General features: G+C 58.4%; 1 protein-coding gene across 16 annotated transcripts in view, besides 5 other annotated features; it reads right to left on the bottom strand.

Annotated features, from left to right (window-relative positions):
• The window catches only part of PACS2 (phosphofurin acidic cluster sorting protein 2), a 97,374-nt gene that overhangs the window by 57,954 nt on the left and 20,456 nt on the right, over positions 1 to 18,964 (bottom strand). The window lies entirely within an intron of this gene.
• Positions 1,303 to 1,968: an enhancer, noted in NCBI's record as "H3K27ac-H3K4me1 hESC enhancer chr14:105804563-105805228 (GRCh37/hg19 assembly coordinates)". NCBI's record gives its function as "activates a minimal SCP1, AML or CMV promoter by ChIP-STARR-seq in naive H9 embryonic stem cells {active_cell/tissue: H9 hESC(naive)}" and the evidence as "EXISTENCE:reporter gene assay evidence [ECO:0000049][PMID:30033119]".
• Positions 1,969 to 2,634: an enhancer, noted in NCBI's record as "H3K27ac-H3K4me1 hESC enhancer chr14:105803897-105804562 (GRCh37/hg19 assembly coordinates)". NCBI's record gives its function as "activates a minimal SCP1, AML or CMV promoter by ChIP-STARR-seq in naive H9 embryonic stem cells {active_cell/tissue: H9 hESC(naive)}" and the evidence as "EXISTENCE:reporter gene assay evidence [ECO:0000049][PMID:30033119]".
• Positions 7,252 to 8,137: an enhancer, noted in NCBI's record as "H3K4me1 hESC enhancer chr14:105798394-105799279 (GRCh37/hg19 assembly coordinates)". NCBI's record gives its function as "activates a minimal SCP1, AML or CMV promoter by ChIP-STARR-seq in primed H9 embryonic stem cells {active_cell/tissue: H9 hESC(primed)}" and the evidence as "EXISTENCE:reporter gene assay evidence [ECO:0000049][PMID:30033119]".
• Positions 11,667 to 12,176: an enhancer, noted in NCBI's record as "H3K27ac-H3K4me1 hESC enhancer chr14:105794355-105794864 (GRCh37/hg19 assembly coordinates)". NCBI's record gives its function as "activates a minimal SCP1, AML or CMV promoter by ChIP-STARR-seq in primed H9 embryonic stem cells {active_cell/tissue: H9 hESC(primed)}" and the evidence as "EXISTENCE:reporter gene assay evidence [ECO:0000049][PMID:30033119]".
• Positions 16,765 to 17,274: an enhancer, noted in NCBI's record as "H3K4me1 hESC enhancer chr14:105789257-105789766 (GRCh37/hg19 assembly coordinates)". NCBI's record gives its function as "activates a minimal SCP1, AML or CMV promoter by ChIP-STARR-seq in naive H9 embryonic stem cells {active_cell/tissue: H9 hESC(naive)}" and the evidence as "EXISTENCE:reporter gene assay evidence [ECO:0000049][PMID:30033119]".

Below are 18,964 nucleotides of genomic sequence, written 5' to 3'. Positions count from 1 at the left end.
GTGTTTCTGCTGGTACATTCCATTAGTCAATGTTTATACTTCTGCCAATTCCATATTGTTTTAACTAGCATAGCTAATTTAAATAAATTTGTATCTGCTAAGGAAAATACTCCTTAGCCAGACGCGGTGGCTCACACTTGGAATCGCAGCCCTTTGGGAGGCCAAGGCAGGTGGATCACCTGAGCCCAGGAGCTCAAGACCAGCCTGGGCAACATGGTGAAACCCCATCTCTACAAAAAATACAAAAATTGGCCGGATGTGGTGGCTCATGCCTGTAATCCCAGGACTTCGGGAGGCCGAGGAGGGCTGATCACCTGAGGTCAGGAGTTTGAAACCAGCCTGGCCAACATGGTGAAACTCCTCTCTACTAAAAATACAAAAATTAGCCAGGCATGTTTGCTACTTTATTAAGCTTTTCCAATCAGCTTCTGGCTTTTGTTAATATTCAATTAAGACTTGTTCTTTGTCATCTCCATTCCTTTTTTTTTTTTTTTAATAGAGACAGAATCTTGCTCTGTCACCTAGGCTAGAGTGTAGTGGTGCAATCACGGCTCACTGCAGCCTTGAACCCCTGTGCTCAGGAGATCCTCTCCCTTCAGCCTCCCAAAGTGCTAGGATTGCAGGCATGAGCCACCACACCTGGCCCTGCTGGTCTTTTCTTTTTCTTCCTTTTTTTTTTTTTTTATAGAGACAGAGTTTTGCTCTTGTTGCCCAGGCTGGAGTGCAATGGCATGATCTCAGCTCACTGCAACCTCTGCCCCCGGGTTCAAGCCATTCTTTCGCCTCAGCCTCCCAAGTAGCTAAGACTACAGGTGCATACCACCACACCCGGCTAATTTTTGTATTTTCAGTAGAGATGGGCTTTTCTCATGTTGGCCAGGCTGATCTCAAACTCCTGACCTCAGGTGGTCCCCCCACCTTGACCTCCCAAAGTGCTAGGGTTACAGGCATGAGCCACCACACCCAACCCTGCTAGTCTTTTTGAAGCACCTGGTCTCGCTCTGAGTGGCAGTGGAATAGCGTCCCCCACTTTCCATCTTTGGCAGCATCCACTTAGCTACGGGAACCACCATAAACATCAAGGGGCCAAAGTGACAGCCACGGGTCCCCAGGAACTTGCAAAGCAGGGGCTGAAGAGCACCTCTGAAGTCAGCCTGGGTTGGTCAACAAAGCCACAGAGGCACCCTCAGCCCAGATGCCTGGATACCTGCAGTCAGTTGAAGGCAGGAGTGAGCACCTCTGGTTGTGGGGCCAGGCTCAGAGAGGAGAGCAGCTGGGTGGGTGGAAGGAGGGGAGAGAGTAGGAAGACAGGAGGCAGGAGGGAGGGAGAAGAGCGGGGAGATGGCACAATGAAGCCAGGGAATTCCAAGGGCCTTCAACAGACATCAGGACCCCTGCTGCCCTGGCCACTTTAGAGCTGTCCTTTCCTGGCAGATGCCTGGGGACCCAGTGGCATGGGGCACTGCTAGGCCTGGGCACCCAAGGGCAGGGGTCAGTCACGCAGGTCACAGGCACATGGTCACAGTCAGGGTGGATGGACACCTGGCCCTGGGGCAGATGACCTGGGAACGGGAGGTGAGGGTCGGCAGGGGACCTCCCTCCAGGGTCACTCTGAGAACCCAGCAAGGATCACACTGGCCCTGGAGGACCCGGAATCCTGCACAGCCCCCAGGGACCTGGGGTGAGCGAGCTGTGGCAGGGTCAATAGGTCAGGGGAGGCCCAAGGAACAAGGTGGGAAAGTAAAGACAGCAAAGGACAAACACCCCCTGGGAATGCCCCACCACCGCCCCCCTCGGCAGGGACTTCCGGGAGAAGGAAGGCACCATATCCCAGCACCCCAGTTTTTGTGAGTTACAGAACAAGTGACATTTCAGGAAGGTCAGAGAAACCTGACTCAGCAGAAAGTGCCCCACGTGCGTGCCCTGCATGGCATTTCCATGTCAGCTGGAAGGAGAGCAGCCAACACTCTCCAGGGCTGGGCAGAGCCCCAGCGCCATGCAGCCCACAGCAGGCGGAAGGGGAGGCTGGAAGTCCTCCGCAGGTCACTCCCCCGCTTCCTCCTCCAGGAAACCGGGCCAGCGCCAGGCCCCAGTCTGAGAACAGACCCCTCGGCCACCCAGCCTCAGATGGGGGCGGGGCAGGACCTCCATGGGTGAGGAGGCCAGAGACAGCATGGCCCAACAGTATGCTCTCTGGGAGACTGAAACTCCCACCCACCCACTCCTGTGCATGATGCAAACCAGAGACTGGAGGGGACGCTGCTGCCCCTGGGGGTGCACATGTGGGGGCTGAGACAGGCACCTGCGTCCCTATGTCCCAACGGAGCAAGGGTGGGCACCCCTTCAAACCACTGACTTCTGGAAGCCTGAGCTAGGACTCTGCACCAGGCCCCCCAGTTTTGTTCAGAGGCACAGAGGCCCTTGTCCAGGGGTGGGACAGGATCTCAGGGGCAGGTCTGGAGAGGTTCCCATCTCAGGGGGCTCAGGTGGGCCCTGGGGTTTGGAGACCACTTCCCATTTTGAACAGGAACCCAAAAGACGAGAGGCCCAAGCTCCTCGCAGGGTTGCCACCTAAGCCCAGGGAGGCATAGCCACGGGCTCAGCCAGCCCCAACCCAGGAGGTTAACACTGGTGCTCCCCCTGGCTTTGGGACTTAACTGTTTTTTTCTGGTAGGAAGGTAAACGGTGACAGCCTTATTTTGGAGAACAGCTTGACGATGTCTATTTCTCTTTTTTATTGTGGTAAATATAACGTAAAACTTGCCGTTTGAACCATTTTTCAGTGTGCAGGTCAGTGGCACTACGTGCGTGGATGCTGTTGTGCAGCCCTCACCGCCATCCATCCCGAGAACTCTCTTCACCTTGCGCAACTGAAACTACCCATTCAACCCCAACTCCCCATTCCCACCTTCCCCGGCCCCTGGCATCACCAGGCTGCACCATCCTACCTCCGTCCCTATGAATGCAATGACTCTAGGGACCTGACACAAATGGGATCATACAGTGCATGTCCTCCTGTGACTGGCTTATTCCACTCAGCACAATATACTCAAGTTCCATCCACGTTGCAGCCTGTGTCCATTTCCTTCCTTTTCAGGGCTAAGTAATATTCCACAGTGTGGAGGGCCACGCGGTGCTGACCGAGGGCCCAGTGATGCTGGGTGGTGCGGAGGGCCACATGGTGCTGACTTGTTTGTCCGAGGATGGATACAGGCTGCGTCCATCACGCAGTCACCGTGAGTAAGGCTGCTGTGAACACAGGGTGGAGATCTCCCCTGGAGGCCCTGCGTCAGTGCTCCCGGGTTCTACTGAGAAGTGCAACTGCTAGCTCACACAGTAACTCTGACGGTAACTCTGTCTCATTTCCCGAGGGGCTGCCGTCCTGTTCCCCGCAACAGCTGCACCATGCTACATTCCCAGCAGCAGTGCACAGGGACTGGCTTTCACTCTGATTAACACTTCTACAAGGACGCCCTCCCCACAGTGGCCTCCCACAAGTAGGGCCCACAACCCCAGGAAGGAAGGCCAGACTCACCCAACAGCACACTCTGGCCCCGCTGGAGCATGGGGCGTGCGTGCTTTCACTCATTCACTCACTGAGTTGCTCTGGGCGGCCTCATCCTGCCGCCTGCCCCAGCCCTGTCCTCACTCGCTCCTGCACGGACTCTGGTCACCTGAGGACCCTGCCCTCCAGACAGCAGCGTGGACCAGGATCTCTTCCGCCCAGCCACTCCACGGTGCCACCACTGCTGGGCTGCATCCTGTGCTTGGCTCAAGGCCTCCTGGAGAGGCTGCGTGGCCAACTCTGCAGCCCTGGCAAGCGGCCGCGCCACTCCCAAGGACAGCACAGAACACGAGCAGGACAAGGGAGCACTTCACGGATTTCTGAGAAATGCACCAGCGCCCGGCTGGCCCTCGAGGCGCATGTCAACCCCACCACTTTCCTCCAGGCAGGCAAGGGGGTGGGGGCGCGCACAGAGCACAGATGGTTAAGACCCCAGGCAGCTGGTCCCAAACCTGCTGACTGTGTTTTGTTGGAAGGGAAAACTGAGGAGCTTTTGTCTCCAGGAGCTGCCCCCTTGGTGCGGTCGCGAGCCTGCCCGCGTGGGAGCTGGGGGCCTGTGGCGGCAGCTGGCCACACACGCTCCGTGCCCTGCTGCCCCTGGGCAGAGGAATGTCACAGGCTGGTGCTCCACATGCTCAGCCCACGCCCTGCCATCCCCAGGCTCCAGGTGCCTGCACAGCCATCCTCGTAGCTGGGCCCCAGGGCACCGCCGTCCTCATGGAGAGAGTTCCACGGGGCTCTCTGCTCCTGCATCACCAGCACTTACCACCCAGCCCGTCCCAAGGCTCGCCCGGGCGGCCGAGGGCGGCTGCCAGCTCTTGCCAGCCTCACTCAGCTTTCTCTGATGTACAGCCTTATCTGGACATGGCTGCTCCCTGCTAATGAGGACAGAAGGTCAGGGTGCCTTCTCAGTGTCCTCGTTGGCCAGTGGTCAGGGCCAAGGAGGCTGCTGTGGAGTGAGAGGAACAGGCTCAGCCAGGTGCCTCATGGATAGACTACACCGAGGGCTAGGACCACTGGGTCTCCATGCCTGGGCCCAGTGAGGGGCCACCTCAGCAGAGGCCAGCCCTGCCCATGAGGGAGGGTGAAGAGGTGGTCCCCACCTGCCCCAGAATAGGGGAAGGAACTGATGGTGCCGGAGTCAGCACATCACAGCCATGCCAGGCGCCGGCCACAGCGTCAGAGCCACGCCAGGCGCCGGCCACAGCGTCAGAGCCACGCCAGGCGCCGGCCACAGCGTCAGAGCCACGCCAGGCGCCGGCCACAGCGTCACAGCCACGCCAGGCGCCGGCCACAGCGTCACAGCCACTCCAGGCACTGGCCTATGGGGGCTGAGCTGAGCCCAGGGTGCCTCTGGGAGCACCACGGCTCCAGCAACGGCATCTGCCCCAGAGCAGGGAAGCCTCCGAGGTGGCTGTGAGAACAATGCTGCAAACACACGTCCGGCCCTCAGTGCTGGGCTCCACCACACCACGCATTCCAGTCAGCCTGTGGCAAGGCTGGGAGCTGCCGGCCATTGTCCAGGCTGGGTCCAGTCATCAGGAGGCCCTGTCCTCAGACCTGCTGGGCCTGTACTTCTGTCTCAGTCACCCGAAGGCCCAGGGGCCATTCCATGTTCCTACACGTCCAGCCCAACAGTCCCAGGCACAGGTGTGCAGGTGTACAGTGTGCCTCACCAACAGCTGGAGGGGAACCCCACCCCATGGAGGGGAGCCCCTCCCAGCTCTGTTCCCACCTCCCATACCATGCACACACTCCCGAGGCTGCCAGACCAGAGGGGCTCTGGGAAAAGATGCCACAGCTCCCCCCCGCAGTGCACGTTATGAGCTGCATCCCATCTGGGTCTGTGCTCAGTGACTTGTGTGGCCACGTGCACCTGTGAGCATGACCACGAGCCTGGGCTAACTCAGCTGTGGGCACCAAGCACACACTGGCCCTCAGGTGGAGCTCTACACAGACACTGGCCCTCAGGTGGAGCTCTACCCACACACTGGACCCTCAGGTGGAGCTCTATGTAGACACTGGGCCTCAGGTGGAGCTCTACGCACATACTGGCCCTCAGGTGGAGCTCTACGTAGGCACTGGCCCTCAGGTGGAGCTCTACGCACATATTGGGCCTCAGGTGGAGCTCTACGTAGACACTGGGCCTCAGGTGGGACTCTACGCACACACTGGGCCTCAGGTGGAGCTCTACACAGACAGAGGGAAGAGGGTGAAGCCCTGCACATACTTTCTGCTGCTCAGGACAGAGCCAGGTCTGGTCTGCGTCAGCCTCAAGGTGGGAACAGCTCTCTCCTTCCAATGCTCTCCTGGCCACGCTGCCCTGGAGTCAGGTGGGGTCTGTGGCCTGACCCACTCAGCTAGCTGGCACTGCCTCTGCAGCCGGGGCCCACTCCCTTGGCCCTGGAGTCTGGCAGGAGGAGGTGTCAGGGGAAGGCAGACAGATGAGCCCAACGCAGGAGGATGCAGCTGAGCAGACGGCGGCCACTGCCTGTGGGCAGTCACGCCAAGGGGAAGCCAGGCCAGGCTCTAGACCAGACAGGGCATCGTGGATCCAGGCCCAGGCCCCCGACACCCCACGACCACCCCCAGGCTGGACACTCCATATGGCCCCAGGCAGGAAGGGCCCTGACAGGTGTCTCCCAGCAGGAATGGGCCCTGCCCAGCAAGGGCGTTTCTGTGCAGGGGCTATTTTAGCCCGGGTGAGGCACAGGCAGGTGCGTGTGACAGCTGGGGGAGGCTCCCAGAACCCCCTCTGGGAAGGCCTGTGGGCCACGCCTCACACTGCAGGCCTCCGGGGCCAAGCCCCTGTCCTGGGCAGCCCTGCCATGGGCCACAGGCTGTGACCCTCAGTGAGAAGGGTGACAGGCCGGGCCGGTTGCCAGCCCTGGGTCTGTGTGGACCTTTGGGCTGCTTTGCCAAAACCTCCCACCTCCTCCCTCCCCAATGGCCCACGGGGCAAAGGCTGAAGAGTGGGCCTGCAAGAAGGTGTCCCAGGTTTTGGCACTTTCAGTGCTCAGCTTTCCCAAGTGGCCACCGCAAGCCCAACGGGTCCCAGGAACATCCCCAGACTGCATGTCACTGGGACCCAGCAAAGCCAGGTGACACAAGCCAGCACCCCAGGGAGCAGCCAGAACCTTCTGCCGAGACACTGTGCCCCCAGCAGGACAGGACGGCCAGGGACTGGCTTCCAGGAGGGTCTGTCCAGCACCCCAGGACTGGCCGGCCTGTGCTGCAGGCAGCTAACACAGCAGTGGCGCCATGGGAACGCCTGCAACGGGGCAGCTTCCCAGTGTAGTGTCCCCGCCTGGGGCAGGCCAGGGGAGGGCAGAACCAGCACCTGCTCTGCACAGGGCACGGCTGTGGGCAGGAGGATGACTCCAGCTGTCAGGTGAAGAGAGGGAACCAGGAGCACATGCAGCAGGAGGGGGTGGGGACTGGTAGGGAACAGGGCCAGGGTGTGTGTGCACACGCGTGCATGGGTGTGTGTGTGCACGTGTATGTGCCTGAGTGGGTATGCGTCTCTCTCTCTCACACCCACGCCAGTTGGTCTACATGGGCCCAGGCTCGGTCTGCATCCACCCCCAGGGGCCCAGCACACGTCCCACAGAGAGGAGAAACCACGACGCAGCCCACAGGAGCGGAGCCTGGGGAGGGGGCAGAGCACAGATTGGGCACCCCCACAAAAAAGTGGGGGGACGATGGCGGTGGGGGCATGAGACTGTCTCAGATTTCTTCTCTGCCCCACATCAAGAGGATGCACTTAGGACCAACTTCTTGTTTAGGAATCAAGGCTGCTCCCCTCCAGGGAGTTTCAGGAAGGTGTCTGTAACCTACTGGCCCCTGGGGGCAGGAGAGGGACCAGAGGATGGAACTGCTGTCCTGCGGGGGACTCAGACCTCAGAATCCACCTCCTGGGCTCCAGGTCTTGGACCGCCCACGAGAGGACCAGGCAGAGGCCCCGCAGAGAAGCCATGCAGTGCCCGAGGAGGGAGCTCCCACTTGGGAAGAAGTGGGTCAGACACCAAACCTTCCCAACTCAGCCCCAGGCACCGAGCCCCACCATTGCCTGTGCCCTCAGCTGTCACAGGCTCAGGGGAGGATCAGCACAGCTTCCCATGGGGGTTTTCACAATCCCAACTGCTTCCTGTGTGGCCTCAGTCCTGGAGGTGGTCGGCCACACAGGCACACCCTGAACACAGCCGAGGGGGCCACCTGCTCCTCTCACTCCCCACTGATATCACGGGCACCAGGCAAAACCCCCGTGCTCCGTGTTGTGGGTCTGGGACTAGCCAGCAACATTTCTCAACACAGCCCACAGAGGGGAGGACCACTGTGCTTCCCAGCGCCAGTGAGGGGCTGGGAGGGGCTCCCCATGGAAGGAGAAGCAGGCACAGAGGCACAGGCAGCCCCACGGCAAGGCACAGGACAGTGACTGAGCAGCTTCCACCCAAGGAAGGAGATGCAATGTCTGACTGAGGATTCTTCCAAAACAAGAAGAGAGATGCTCATATTCAGTAAGTCCCAAGGAGGATCAAAAGCAATGTTGATAACAAATCCGCACCAAATCAAAATAAAAACGCTAAAAGCAACCACAGATCACACATGTGTCCCACAAGGAACAAGGAGCAGGCTGATCGCAGACTCCTCAAAACCACAACAGAGGCCAGAAGACAATAAAACAATCGTCAAAGTACCGAGGAGACAAAACTGTCAACCTAGAAGAACTCTGTGATCACCAAGTATGAGGGGGACAAAAACGCCATCTTCAGGCACTGAAAGACTGAAAGAGCTTCTGAAGGATGTGCTCCAGGAAAACAAAAACTATCCTTGGGAAAGGCAGGGCCACAGGTGAGCAAAGTAGCAGCAAAGCCATACTCATCAAAGGCATTGCTGTTTCTCCTGCATTTCAGCTCTCCTTCCTTTGGAGGGTGGGAGGGTTGTTGACTATCCTTAAATGTCAACAGGCCTTTCACATTTTAAGCAAATCAGTAACAGTTAAAAGGACTACAGTGATTTCCTGGAGTGGGTAATACATAAAACTCAGGCCAGGCACAATGGTTCGTGCCTGTTAATCCCAGCACTTTAGGAGGCTGAAATGGGAGGATGACTCGAGCCCCAGAGTTTGAGGCTGCAGGGAGCTATGATCATGCCACTGCACTCTAGCCTGAGCAACAGAGTGAGAACCTGTCTCAAAAATACAAATAAATTCAATCAGTCTTGATCCTTCCTTAATTTCCGAGGAGGAAATAACAAAACTTAGGAGAGGAAATACGTAATAAACACAATCAAAATGATCAAAATGACAGGAATACATGCAACTATATCATCGCACAGAAACACAGACTAAACTTGCCAGTTAAAAGCCAACCCAGGCTGGGCACGGTGGCTCATGCCTGTAATCCCAGCACTTTGGGAGGCCGAGGCAGGCAGATCACCTGAGGTCAGGAGTTTGAGACCAGCCTGGCCAACACGGTGAAACCCCGTCTCTACTAAAAATACAAAAATTAGCTGGGTGTGACGGTGCATGCCTGTAATCCCAGCTACTCGGGAGGCTGAGGCAGGAGAATCACCTGAACCCTGGAGGCAAGGTTGCAGTGAGCCGAGATTGTGCCACTGCACTCCAGCCTGGGCAACAGGATGACTCTGTCTCAAAAAAAAAAAAAATGCCAACCCCAGCATCCAACAAAGCCGTTCACCAGAGCAAGGCTAGGCCCCAAGGACCCAGAAGGTTGACATCACGTGAGATGCCGGTAGAGGCTGCATGGGGCACAGCTGGCACAGAGATGGAATTGGGAACGCACTTAAGGCAAAAAGCAGGATTTGAGGTAAAGGCGAGGACAGAAATGACTGACCACAGGGCACTCGTCAGGAAGCTGAAACAAGGCCAGCCCTGGGTACCATGGCGATTGCCTGAGAAAAGACAGGAAATGCGTGGGTGTTGGGTGGGGCCCCAGGATTCTGATGCCAGAGTCCCACGGTGCTCCGTGGAGACAGGGGCGAGGGGTCATGCTGGTGTGGCCTAGGCTGCACTAGCTGCCACCCTGGGACCGGGGGTCCAGAGAGCGGCCACACACCCAGCTGGGTCAGGGCTGGCTGCGGCCCCACTCCCTCCCAGGAGGTGAGCATTGAGTGCTCGGAAAGAAAACTCTGCGGCACAGTAACCTTCCCCTGTGTGACCTCGTCTAAGGCAGGACATCACTATAGTGAGCCTCCCGGAACCCACACGCCCTTCACAACCTCCTGTCCCCCGTTCCTACGGACACACGGACCCCAGGCTTCTTGGAGGCTCCTGTCCCCGTTCCTTCCCACACACGGACCCCAGGCTTCTCGGAGGCTCCTGTCCCCATTCCGTCCCACACACGGACCCCAGGCTTCTCGGAGGCTCCCTGTCCCCGTTCCGTCCCACACACGGACCCCAGGCTTCTCGGAGGCTCCCTGTCCCCGTTCCGTCCCACACACGGACCCCAGGCTTCTCGGAGGCTCCCTGTCCCCGTTCCTTCCCACACACGGACCCCAGGCTTCTCGGAGGCTCCCTGTCCCCGTTCCTTCCCACACATGGACCCCAGGCTTCTCGGAGGCTCTGGCTCAACCCTTCCTGGTTCTCACTGAAATCCCCCAGCAGGCATCCAGAGCCCACCCTGCACCCTCCCAGGGCATCCCAGCTGGGGGCTCGGCCCTGGCATGGACGTGCAGACCACAGGGATGGGTTTCATCTCCTGGCTGTGCTTGGCTCCTGGGCTGGCACCACCACACCACAGCTCGAGTTCCAGGCCTGGATGCTCCCGCTGCAGAGACCTCACCCTCCTGGAAGGAGCCTGGTGGTCTCCTGTCCATGAGAAGCAGTACCACACGGCAGAGTTTGCTGCTGCCTGCAGTCCGGGAGCTGATACACTAGAGCCCTGCAAGGCCTGTTTGCAAGTCACGCAGGAAAGGACTCCAGGTGCGCACCTAGACAAGGGGGCTGTCTGGACCTCCCTGAGCCATCGTGAGAAGCCCCGCCCCCAAGCCCAGAAGGTGCCCGCCACTTGGCTGACACCAGAGCGGTCTCTCCAGAGGGTGCCCAGGACCACAGCCCCCCACTCTACTGCCCCATGAGCCCAAGGATCTAGAGCATCCTAGACTCTCCCAGAGCTCCTGGAGGCCCTGAACACCCCCTTGACTCTCAGCCAGTTTGGACTCAGGATGGTTCTGGTGGGGCAGGAGCAGCAGGCAGGTGACAGCAGGCTGGTCCTGGTTCCAGGGACTTCTCTTCTGGGAAAGGCAACAGTTGCCAGGGAGCAAATCTTGAAGTGCCAAGTTGGGCACACAGGACCCAAGGAAGCCGGGAGAAGACGGGGACAGAGATCACACAGGGCAGCTGCAGCCAGGCCCCTGCAAACCACAGGCACCCCCGGAAAGGCTTCTGTGCAGCCCATCCTGCTCCCGTACACACCCTCGCTCCACAGCTGCCTCCTCTGCAGACAGATGAGGAAGAGCCCCAGAGGATGTAGCCAGCACCAGGGCCATGCTGGCCTCCAGGGCGCAGGGCCAGCCTCCAGGGAGTCCTCCCTCTAATCTCACTCCCAGCACACTCCCCACTGCTCCCCTGAATTAACCCCACAGCAAGGTGGAGAAGATTCATCGAATGCCTAGAGCGCCTATAATTCTCTGTTGCTACAAATTTTCCGACTGTGCAGCTCCGAATTACAATTGACCTCTCTCTCTAGGTCAATAATATGCAAAAGAGGTGCTGCCAGGTCACAGTGGCACTGAGAGAGGACGCCGCCCTGCCTCGTGACCCTTAGAGGCAACTGCAAAGACAGCAGGCAAGAGATTCACTGGAATCTTTTTTACAATGAGTCTAATCAAACAAGGTTTCCTCTTCACTCTTAACAGAAACAGCTAGTTGGAAATCCTAATGACGCCGCTGCCACTGTGCCCTGGGTGTTCAGGTCAGCAGAAAGGTGCTGAGTGTGGGAGTCCAGCCCACGCGCCAAGACTCGGGCTGCTGGGAGGGCCTGGCCACAGTCTACCCCCAGGCAGTACCTCCAGCAAGTGCGTGGCACTTGTGGAATATTCCAGCTTCAAGGATGGCGAGCCCAGAGCACAACTGCTGCCAGTGTCCTCGAGAGCAGCCTCTGGGCCCCTGTTCTCTATGGCCATTCACACTGCTGGGCCCAGCGGCTGGAGCGTCCGTGTCCAACTCACAGAGCAGCCACAGCCTGAGCTCCCTCCTCTCCTGAGAGCCGAAGAGCCCCAGGAAGGCCCAGAGGAGGCAGTGGGTGGTTTGCACCAGGTCACCCACTACTGGGTCCCCTTTCTGAAGGGACCACATTCTCCAGGAGGAGAGGTGAGGACAACCCTGGACAGCTGCCTCCTCCCCAGTCAAAGGAAAGCTGGCCACTCCGGGGGTTGGGGCAGGGGGTGTGGCATAAGCCATGTGTCCTTTAAGAACTGCACCCCTCTCTTCTCCGTGCACCTCCACACCTAGGGAAACACTCAACCTCTGACCAAGAGTCACCCCCTAATCAGTGCTGGAAATTTTCCCAGGGAATAACTGGAACCACTGCAGGGCCTGGTCCACTGAAGGTTGACGAATCCTGGGGGGAGGCACTGTTCTGATAGAATCCGCAGTGAAACCTCGGGTGGCCTGGGCCGGTGAGCCAAGGCTCGGCTGTCAATGGCCCCTCGGGTGGCCTGGGCCGGTGAGCCAAGGCTCAGTTGTCAATGGCCCCTCGGGTGGCCTGGGCCGGTGAGCCAAGGCTCGGCTGTCAATGGTCCATCGGGTGGCCTGGGCCGGTGAGCCAAGGCTCAGTTGTCAATGGCCCCTCGGGTGGCCTGGGCCGGTGAGTCAAGGCTCGGCTGTCAATGGTCCTGCTCCCTGGCAGGGAACCGCTCGAGCCACAGTCGCAATCTCTGGATATCATGTTGCTAATTAAAGAAACCTCCAAAACCTTCGATAGCCCACCAGAGTCAGGTGCAGTCCAAGAGCCTGGCCAGCTGTCCTCTGCCCCTGCCACATCCTCCCCAGGCAAGTACAGTGAGCAAGCGGCAGAGGCATGAGATGCACCACCCTGCCCCCAGCACAGGCTCCGAGCGCTAGCGGCAGACACCTGCTGTGATTCCTGGCCCCGCCCCCAGCACCATTTGACAGGACCACGGCAGGAGAACAACTCCACCCCAGCCCCCTGTCACCACTTGCCGAGGGTCTGAGAAGCAAGAGGATGGTGCAGGAGCTATCCACGGGAGCCAAGGTCCCCGCCCCTCAGGCCCACGATCCCCAGTGCTCAGGCAGTCAGCGCAGCAGGCAGTAGCGGCAGGCACTGACCTGGCCGCGCACATCCCCTCAGGCTACCACCACTGCAGCCTCTCGACCTTCCTGGACCCCTCCCCAAGGCCTGCCCTCCTTCCCCCTCGCTTCTGAGGCTCGCTCTGTGTGGCCAGGTCAGGCACGCCGGCCTCCCAGCTGGTGAGATACCCCTTGGCCCTGTGGCCTTGCAGCTGTTCTTCACGCCCAAAGCTGACACCTCCCGCAGGAGACAGCGACGCTGGACCTGATAGGTGCTGTATTTATAAACATAAGCCACGCTCAGCTCCGTTTCCAGCTGAAGCCATAGCCAGGCGAGCCAAGAGTGCGTCGATTCGGGTGTAGTGACTTAACTTTCCAAGGCGCGACAACCTTTACGTCCAGCTAGGTGGGAAAAACAGGAAGTCCAGGGCCAAGCTGGAAACTGCAGGAGCCGAAGGAACAGCAGGACTGACTGCAAGGGGCAGGCTGGCGGTGACTGGAGGCCACCCAGGGCACCACAGCAGCTCCCACCAGGAGGAACAGTAGAGTCCTGGCCGCAGGGTGAACGTGGAGCTCATAGCAGAAAGCACGCTCAGGCCAGGAGAGCCCAGACCTCAGGGTGGGTCTTCACGGCCAGAGCTCCCGCTCCCCTCCCTGGCTAGGCCACACCCCAGGCTTGAGGTGGGGGAGGAAGGAGAGCCCTAGGCCAGACCGAGGGGCCTCATGACCTGACACTTGGGTGGCACACAGGCAGCCCGAGAATGTGGAAGGGCCACCCTCCCGGGCCCCACCACGGAGCACCTTCTAGAGGCACCGGCGGGCACTGCCTGAAGCCTGAGCCGCCATCCCTCTCCTTGGTGCTCAGAGGAACGAACAGCCCAATTCAGCACCGCACCAGGAAGGCCTGGCCCCGAGGGACTGCCTGCTAGCAGGGCATCGGCCTCCTGCCACTCACCCTCCTGAGGCGCTCCTGGGGCGACTGGGAAGATGCAGGATGTCTGGTATGTCCACCCTCAAACTGACCAGGAGCGAGCTCATACGGAAGCCTCAACTCCACTGCTGCTGCGGAGCCCCCGCCCCACCCGTGTCCAGGACCAGGAAGCAGGTGCGGGTCTCAACTCCACTGCTGCGGGGGAGCCCCCGCCCCACCTGTATCCAGGACCAGGGAGGCGGGCGCTGGTCTCGAGGCGGCCCTGGAGACACCTGCACGAGCCCAGCATGCAATGCCCATGAAAAGTCTTGCCCAATTATTTTGCATCTAAAAAGAGGGAAGTCCTGGCTGGGGCCATACAATAAAGAAATATTGTCAATGCCTCCTGCAAGGTCAGCTACAGAATTACACTGGGAAATGAGACTCAAATTAAACAAAAGATGCTGGTGGCATCCTAGCTGTCAACTGGTCCCTGGTCACCTCTGTCCTGATGCAGATGTGGGACTCCCAGAAGGTTGGAGAGTAAACAAAGGCATGGAGGAGGGGCCCAGCAGAGGGGCCAAGCTCGCAGGACAGCAGCCCAAGGTCAGGGCCCTTCCCATCAGCATTGGCTTGGTGCCGTTCCCCGTGCTCACCAGAACAAGAACAGCATTTGAGAAGAGGGATGTGCATCTGCAGGTCTGCCTCGCTGTGGATCCACATCCTGGCCTGCCAGGGAAGGGACAGTGCTGGTCACCCCCACAATGGCCATCTCCCCAAGATGAAAGGCATCCTGGGGAAGGCTGAAGGGAGGCTGGACTGCATGGCCACTTTGCTGCCCAGCTCAAGACACACCTGGCTCCTGGGGCTGCTGAGCTGAGCTGCCTGTGCGTGGCGGCTGCTGCCAGCTGCTCTTAGGACACGGGCTGGATGGGGCAGTCGAGAGACAGAAATGCGAGACACAGCATTGCACCGAGCGAGCTGACCACCTGGGCCTCAAGCCCGTGGATCCCAAACTCCTCTGCCAAGCAAGGCCCAGGATGTTGGCCCGAAAGGTTGTGCAAGGGCTGCATGGGGACTGAAGGCCCTTCCAAGTCCCCTCCCCTGCTCCAGCTCACCCCACCTTGTCTCAGGACTCAGGGGTCATTAGAACCCATCTGTCTCCTTGCTGAACCCCTGAAGAGAGCCGCTACCCTGAAGCAAACCCTCCCCCAGCCCCACCCCACCCCGAGCCACAGCACTGACCCCTCCACAACCACTGTGTCCGAGCCCCCCCCCGTCCCACCACCCTACGACGGTGCCCTCAGGGCTGGGACACAGGCGAAGAGCCAGCTGGAGTGTCTCTGCACTTGGCCAGGTGCTGCCTGTGTCCGGGGGCAGGGGGTGCCCACAGCTTGGCCAGGGGGTGCTGAGGAAAGGCTGGTTGGGGCAGTGGAGCGGAACAGCCAGGCCCAGAGCGGGTTGCTCAGCCCCAGGCCCGTGTGCACCCCCAGCAGGAAGGGCAGACCCACCCCTTCCCCAGTGTCTTCCCTTGCCCATTTCTGCCCCTTTTGGGTCCTGACTCCTCTGTTGAGCGGCATCTGCACCCCAGGGGACCCAGCATGGCCCCTGACCATGCAGAGGACCTGGGGCTACGGCCATGAATGTCCCGGGCCTGAGAGCAGCCCAGCAGTAGCCAGTGCTCCCTGGGGCTCCTGGAGAGCCTGCCCCCCATCCGTGGGGTGAGACGGGGCGCCACCGGCCTCCACAGGCCGGAGCCCTCGAGGAGCTGCTGACGACCCCAGCACCATGACCAGCAGCCACGCTCTCATCACTCTCACAACCCTGCTAAGTCGGCCTGAGCTGAGCACACATCGGCGCGCGCCTGCGGAGCAGAAAGGGACGGCCTCTCAGCGCTCGGCTATTTTTAGGGCTGCCTCTCAGAGCAGCTGCTGAGCCAGCCAGGCCCAGCCACCCTGCGGGGCCAGCAGCTCACAGGCCTCAGGGCTGCCCTCAGCGGGAGCCTGTCCTACAGAGACCCTCCACGGCCAGGCAGGAATAAGCACGCCACACCCTGCCCCCTGGTCCTGGGGAAAGCACTGTACAACCTCCATCCTGCCACCCCTTCCCACCTGCACCTGAGCACCCTGTCTCGGCAACGCCACTGCCTGCCACCACCACACACAAGTCACAGGGTCCAAAGAGACCCCCGTCACTGTGACTGACCGCAGACCCGCTCTCTGCAGCAGCCCCCCGACCCCGCCACAGCACCGCAGCTGCCCACTCCATCAAACCTTCCTGAGACGCATGCTGAGAATGCTGGGCAGAGAGAGGGAAAGGGCTGGTTCTAGTGCCCAGATCCAAGGAAAGCATCCTTTAGTCCAAGGGCACTGTAGCCCCCTGCCCTCCATCTCCTGCACAAAAGCCAGTCCCCAGCAGGAGACCCACTGACATGTGACTCCAGTGTTGACAGCAGGACAGAGCTGCCAGAGGTTTCCAGGCATCTTGAAAGCAGGGCACAGCCTGCGCGGACAGAGCGGTGTGCACGCACCGTGCAGGCCACGGCGATGGGCCAGGTCCTCCGAATCCCCAAGGCCTCCAGGGCTACGGGCACCGTCCTGCTGCCCCTTGGCCCCAGCTCGAGTGCTGCCCAGCCTACAGGCCACTGGCTGCCCAGGTCAGCTTCCTCAGCCCCTCCCTCAGAGCAGCCCATCTTCCCTGGATCACTGCAGACCACCTCCGAAAGCCCTGTCCCAAGCCCTGCACGACACCTCCCACCCATCTCCACCTGCACACCCTGAGGCAATCTCCACCTCCAGTGTGGTCCACCACTCCAGCAGCACTGCTCTCCCAAATACACACACTTGAAATAGTCCAGCGACTTCCCCACCACTCAAAATGAAACCACACTCCTTGGCATGACATCCTGGTTCCATTACAGGAACGTCCGCCAAGGAGCTACACTGTGCAGGCTCTGGGCAGCACCGAGCAAGGCAGACAGGGTCCCGCCGTGAGAGTCTCGTGCAGGCTGGCAGCGGTCAGTAGGCAACATGCGTCCTGAGGAGACGCCCCTGCACGTGGACAGAGGCAGGGGGAAGGGCTGGAGACAGGCTACTGCCCCAGCCAGCCGCCGCCCACTGACACCACCCAGTGCATCTATGGATGTGGAGGATCCGGCAGGAAGAGCAACACGTCCAATTGTTGCTCCAGAGGTGAGAGAGAGAATAGCGCAGAACCAACAGCAGAAGAAAAAGTGGCTGAGAGCTTCCCGGGACTCATGAAAATCATCGATCCACAAAGTCAGCAAGTCTAGTAACCCCGACTCAGGCAATCACAAGAGAACCCACACCAGGACCCACCATGAGACGACCGTTGGCAACGATGACATGACCACAAAGCCACCCAGACGTCTCCCTCCAGCCTGTCACGGCCGCTGACCTCTTACAGCAAAGCTGGAAGTCAAAGCCAGGGACGCCCTGCCTGGACCTGTGGGAGGAGCACACACCACCCCAGCATCGTACAACCAGCACACGCCCTGCTCAGGGTGAGGGTAAACTAAAACATCTTCAGACAAACAGAAAGAGAAGGTAGTTATCAGCAGATCCTCACTAAAGGAAATCCTAAGAACAAATATTCAACAGAAGAAGGAAAATGATTCCTGACATGCAAGAAGAATGAGCAACAAAGGAAGTGGTGAGTTTTGAAGCTCATCAAATATCACAGTATAAAGCAGTAACAACATCTTGTGGGCTTCACAAGAAAACAATTAAGATACACAGTAACAAAATCATATAAATATAAACATGAAAGGGTTGGATTAGAATAAAGTGGGCTAAGGTCCCTGCATAGTTCAGCAGGAGAGTAAAGATACAATTAACTATGCACATTAAAATGTACAGGGTAGGCTGGGCGTGGTGGCTTATGCCTGTAATCCCAGCACTTTGGGAGGCCGAGGCGGGCAGATCATTTGAGGTCAGGAGTTCGAGACCAGTCTGGCCAACATGGTGAAACCCCGTCTCTACTAAAAATACAAAAAAATGAGCCGGGTGCGGTGGCGCGCACCTGTAGTTCCAGCTACTCGGGAGGCTGAGGCACAAGAATCACTTGACCTGGGAGGTGGAGGTTGCAGTGAGCCAAGATTGCGCCACTGCATTCCACCCTGGGCAACAGAGCAAGACTCCATCTCAAAAGAGAGAGACTCCGTCTCAAAAAATAAAAAATAAAAATAAAAAAAGGCCGGGCACAGAGGCTCAGCCTGTAATCCCAGCACTTTGGGAGGCCAAGGCGGGCGGATCACGAGGTCGAGAGTTCGAGACCAGCCTGGCCAACATGGTGAAACCCCGTCTCTACTAAAAATACAAAAATTAACTGGGCGTGGTGGCAGGCGCCTGTAGTCCCAGCTACTCGGGAGGCTGAGGCAGGAGAATCGCTTGAACCCGGGAGGAGAGGTTGCAGTGAGCCAAGATTGCACGACTGTACTCCAGCCTGGCGACACAGCGAGACTCTGTCTCAAAAAAAAAAAAGTCAGAAAAGGTCAGAGTGAATGAAAATGAAATCTAGATACATGCTGAATAACCAAAGACACATCTAATATGTAAGGATATACAAAGGTTTTTAAAAAGGATAGAAAAATAGCTAACAGGCAAAAATTATCCAAAAGAATGCTTGCATCAAAGTCAATACTAAAGACAAAAAGCATTACTAGATATAAAAGCAGTCATACAATGAGAAAAGTTCAAAATACCTAGAATTACAATTCTAAACATGTATGTACCTAATAACATAGCCTCAAAAATATATTAAGTGACGGGGCGTTAGTGGTTCATGCCTATAATCCCAGCACTTTGGGAGGCTGAGGCAGGTAGACTGCTTGAGCCCAAGAATTCAAGATCAGCCCGAGCAACATGGAAAAACCCAGTCTCTACAAAAAATACAAAATTTAGCCAGGTGTGGTGGTGCACACCTGTAGTCCCAGCTACTCGGGAAGCTGAGGTGGGAGGATCGATTAAGCCTGGGAGTTCAAGGCTACAGTGAGCTGTGATCGTCCCACTACACTCCAGCCTAGGTGACAGAGTGAGATCCTGTCTGGAAAAAAAAAAAGTATCAAACAGAAACTGACAGAACTGTTAGAAAACCCGGACCAATCTATTCTCAGATTATAAGATTTTAACATACATTTCTAGTAGACAAAAAAAGGGAACGGACTTGAAGACCACAGTAAACCAAGCTTGATCTAATA

This window comes from Homo sapiens, chromosome 14 (genome assembly GCF_000001405.40).
Source record: "Homo sapiens chromosome 14, GRCh38.p14 Primary Assembly".
NCBI lineage: Eukaryota > Metazoa > Chordata > Mammalia > Primates > Hominidae > Homo > Homo sapiens.
This window is presented reverse-complemented; position numbering and strand designations above follow the sequence as displayed.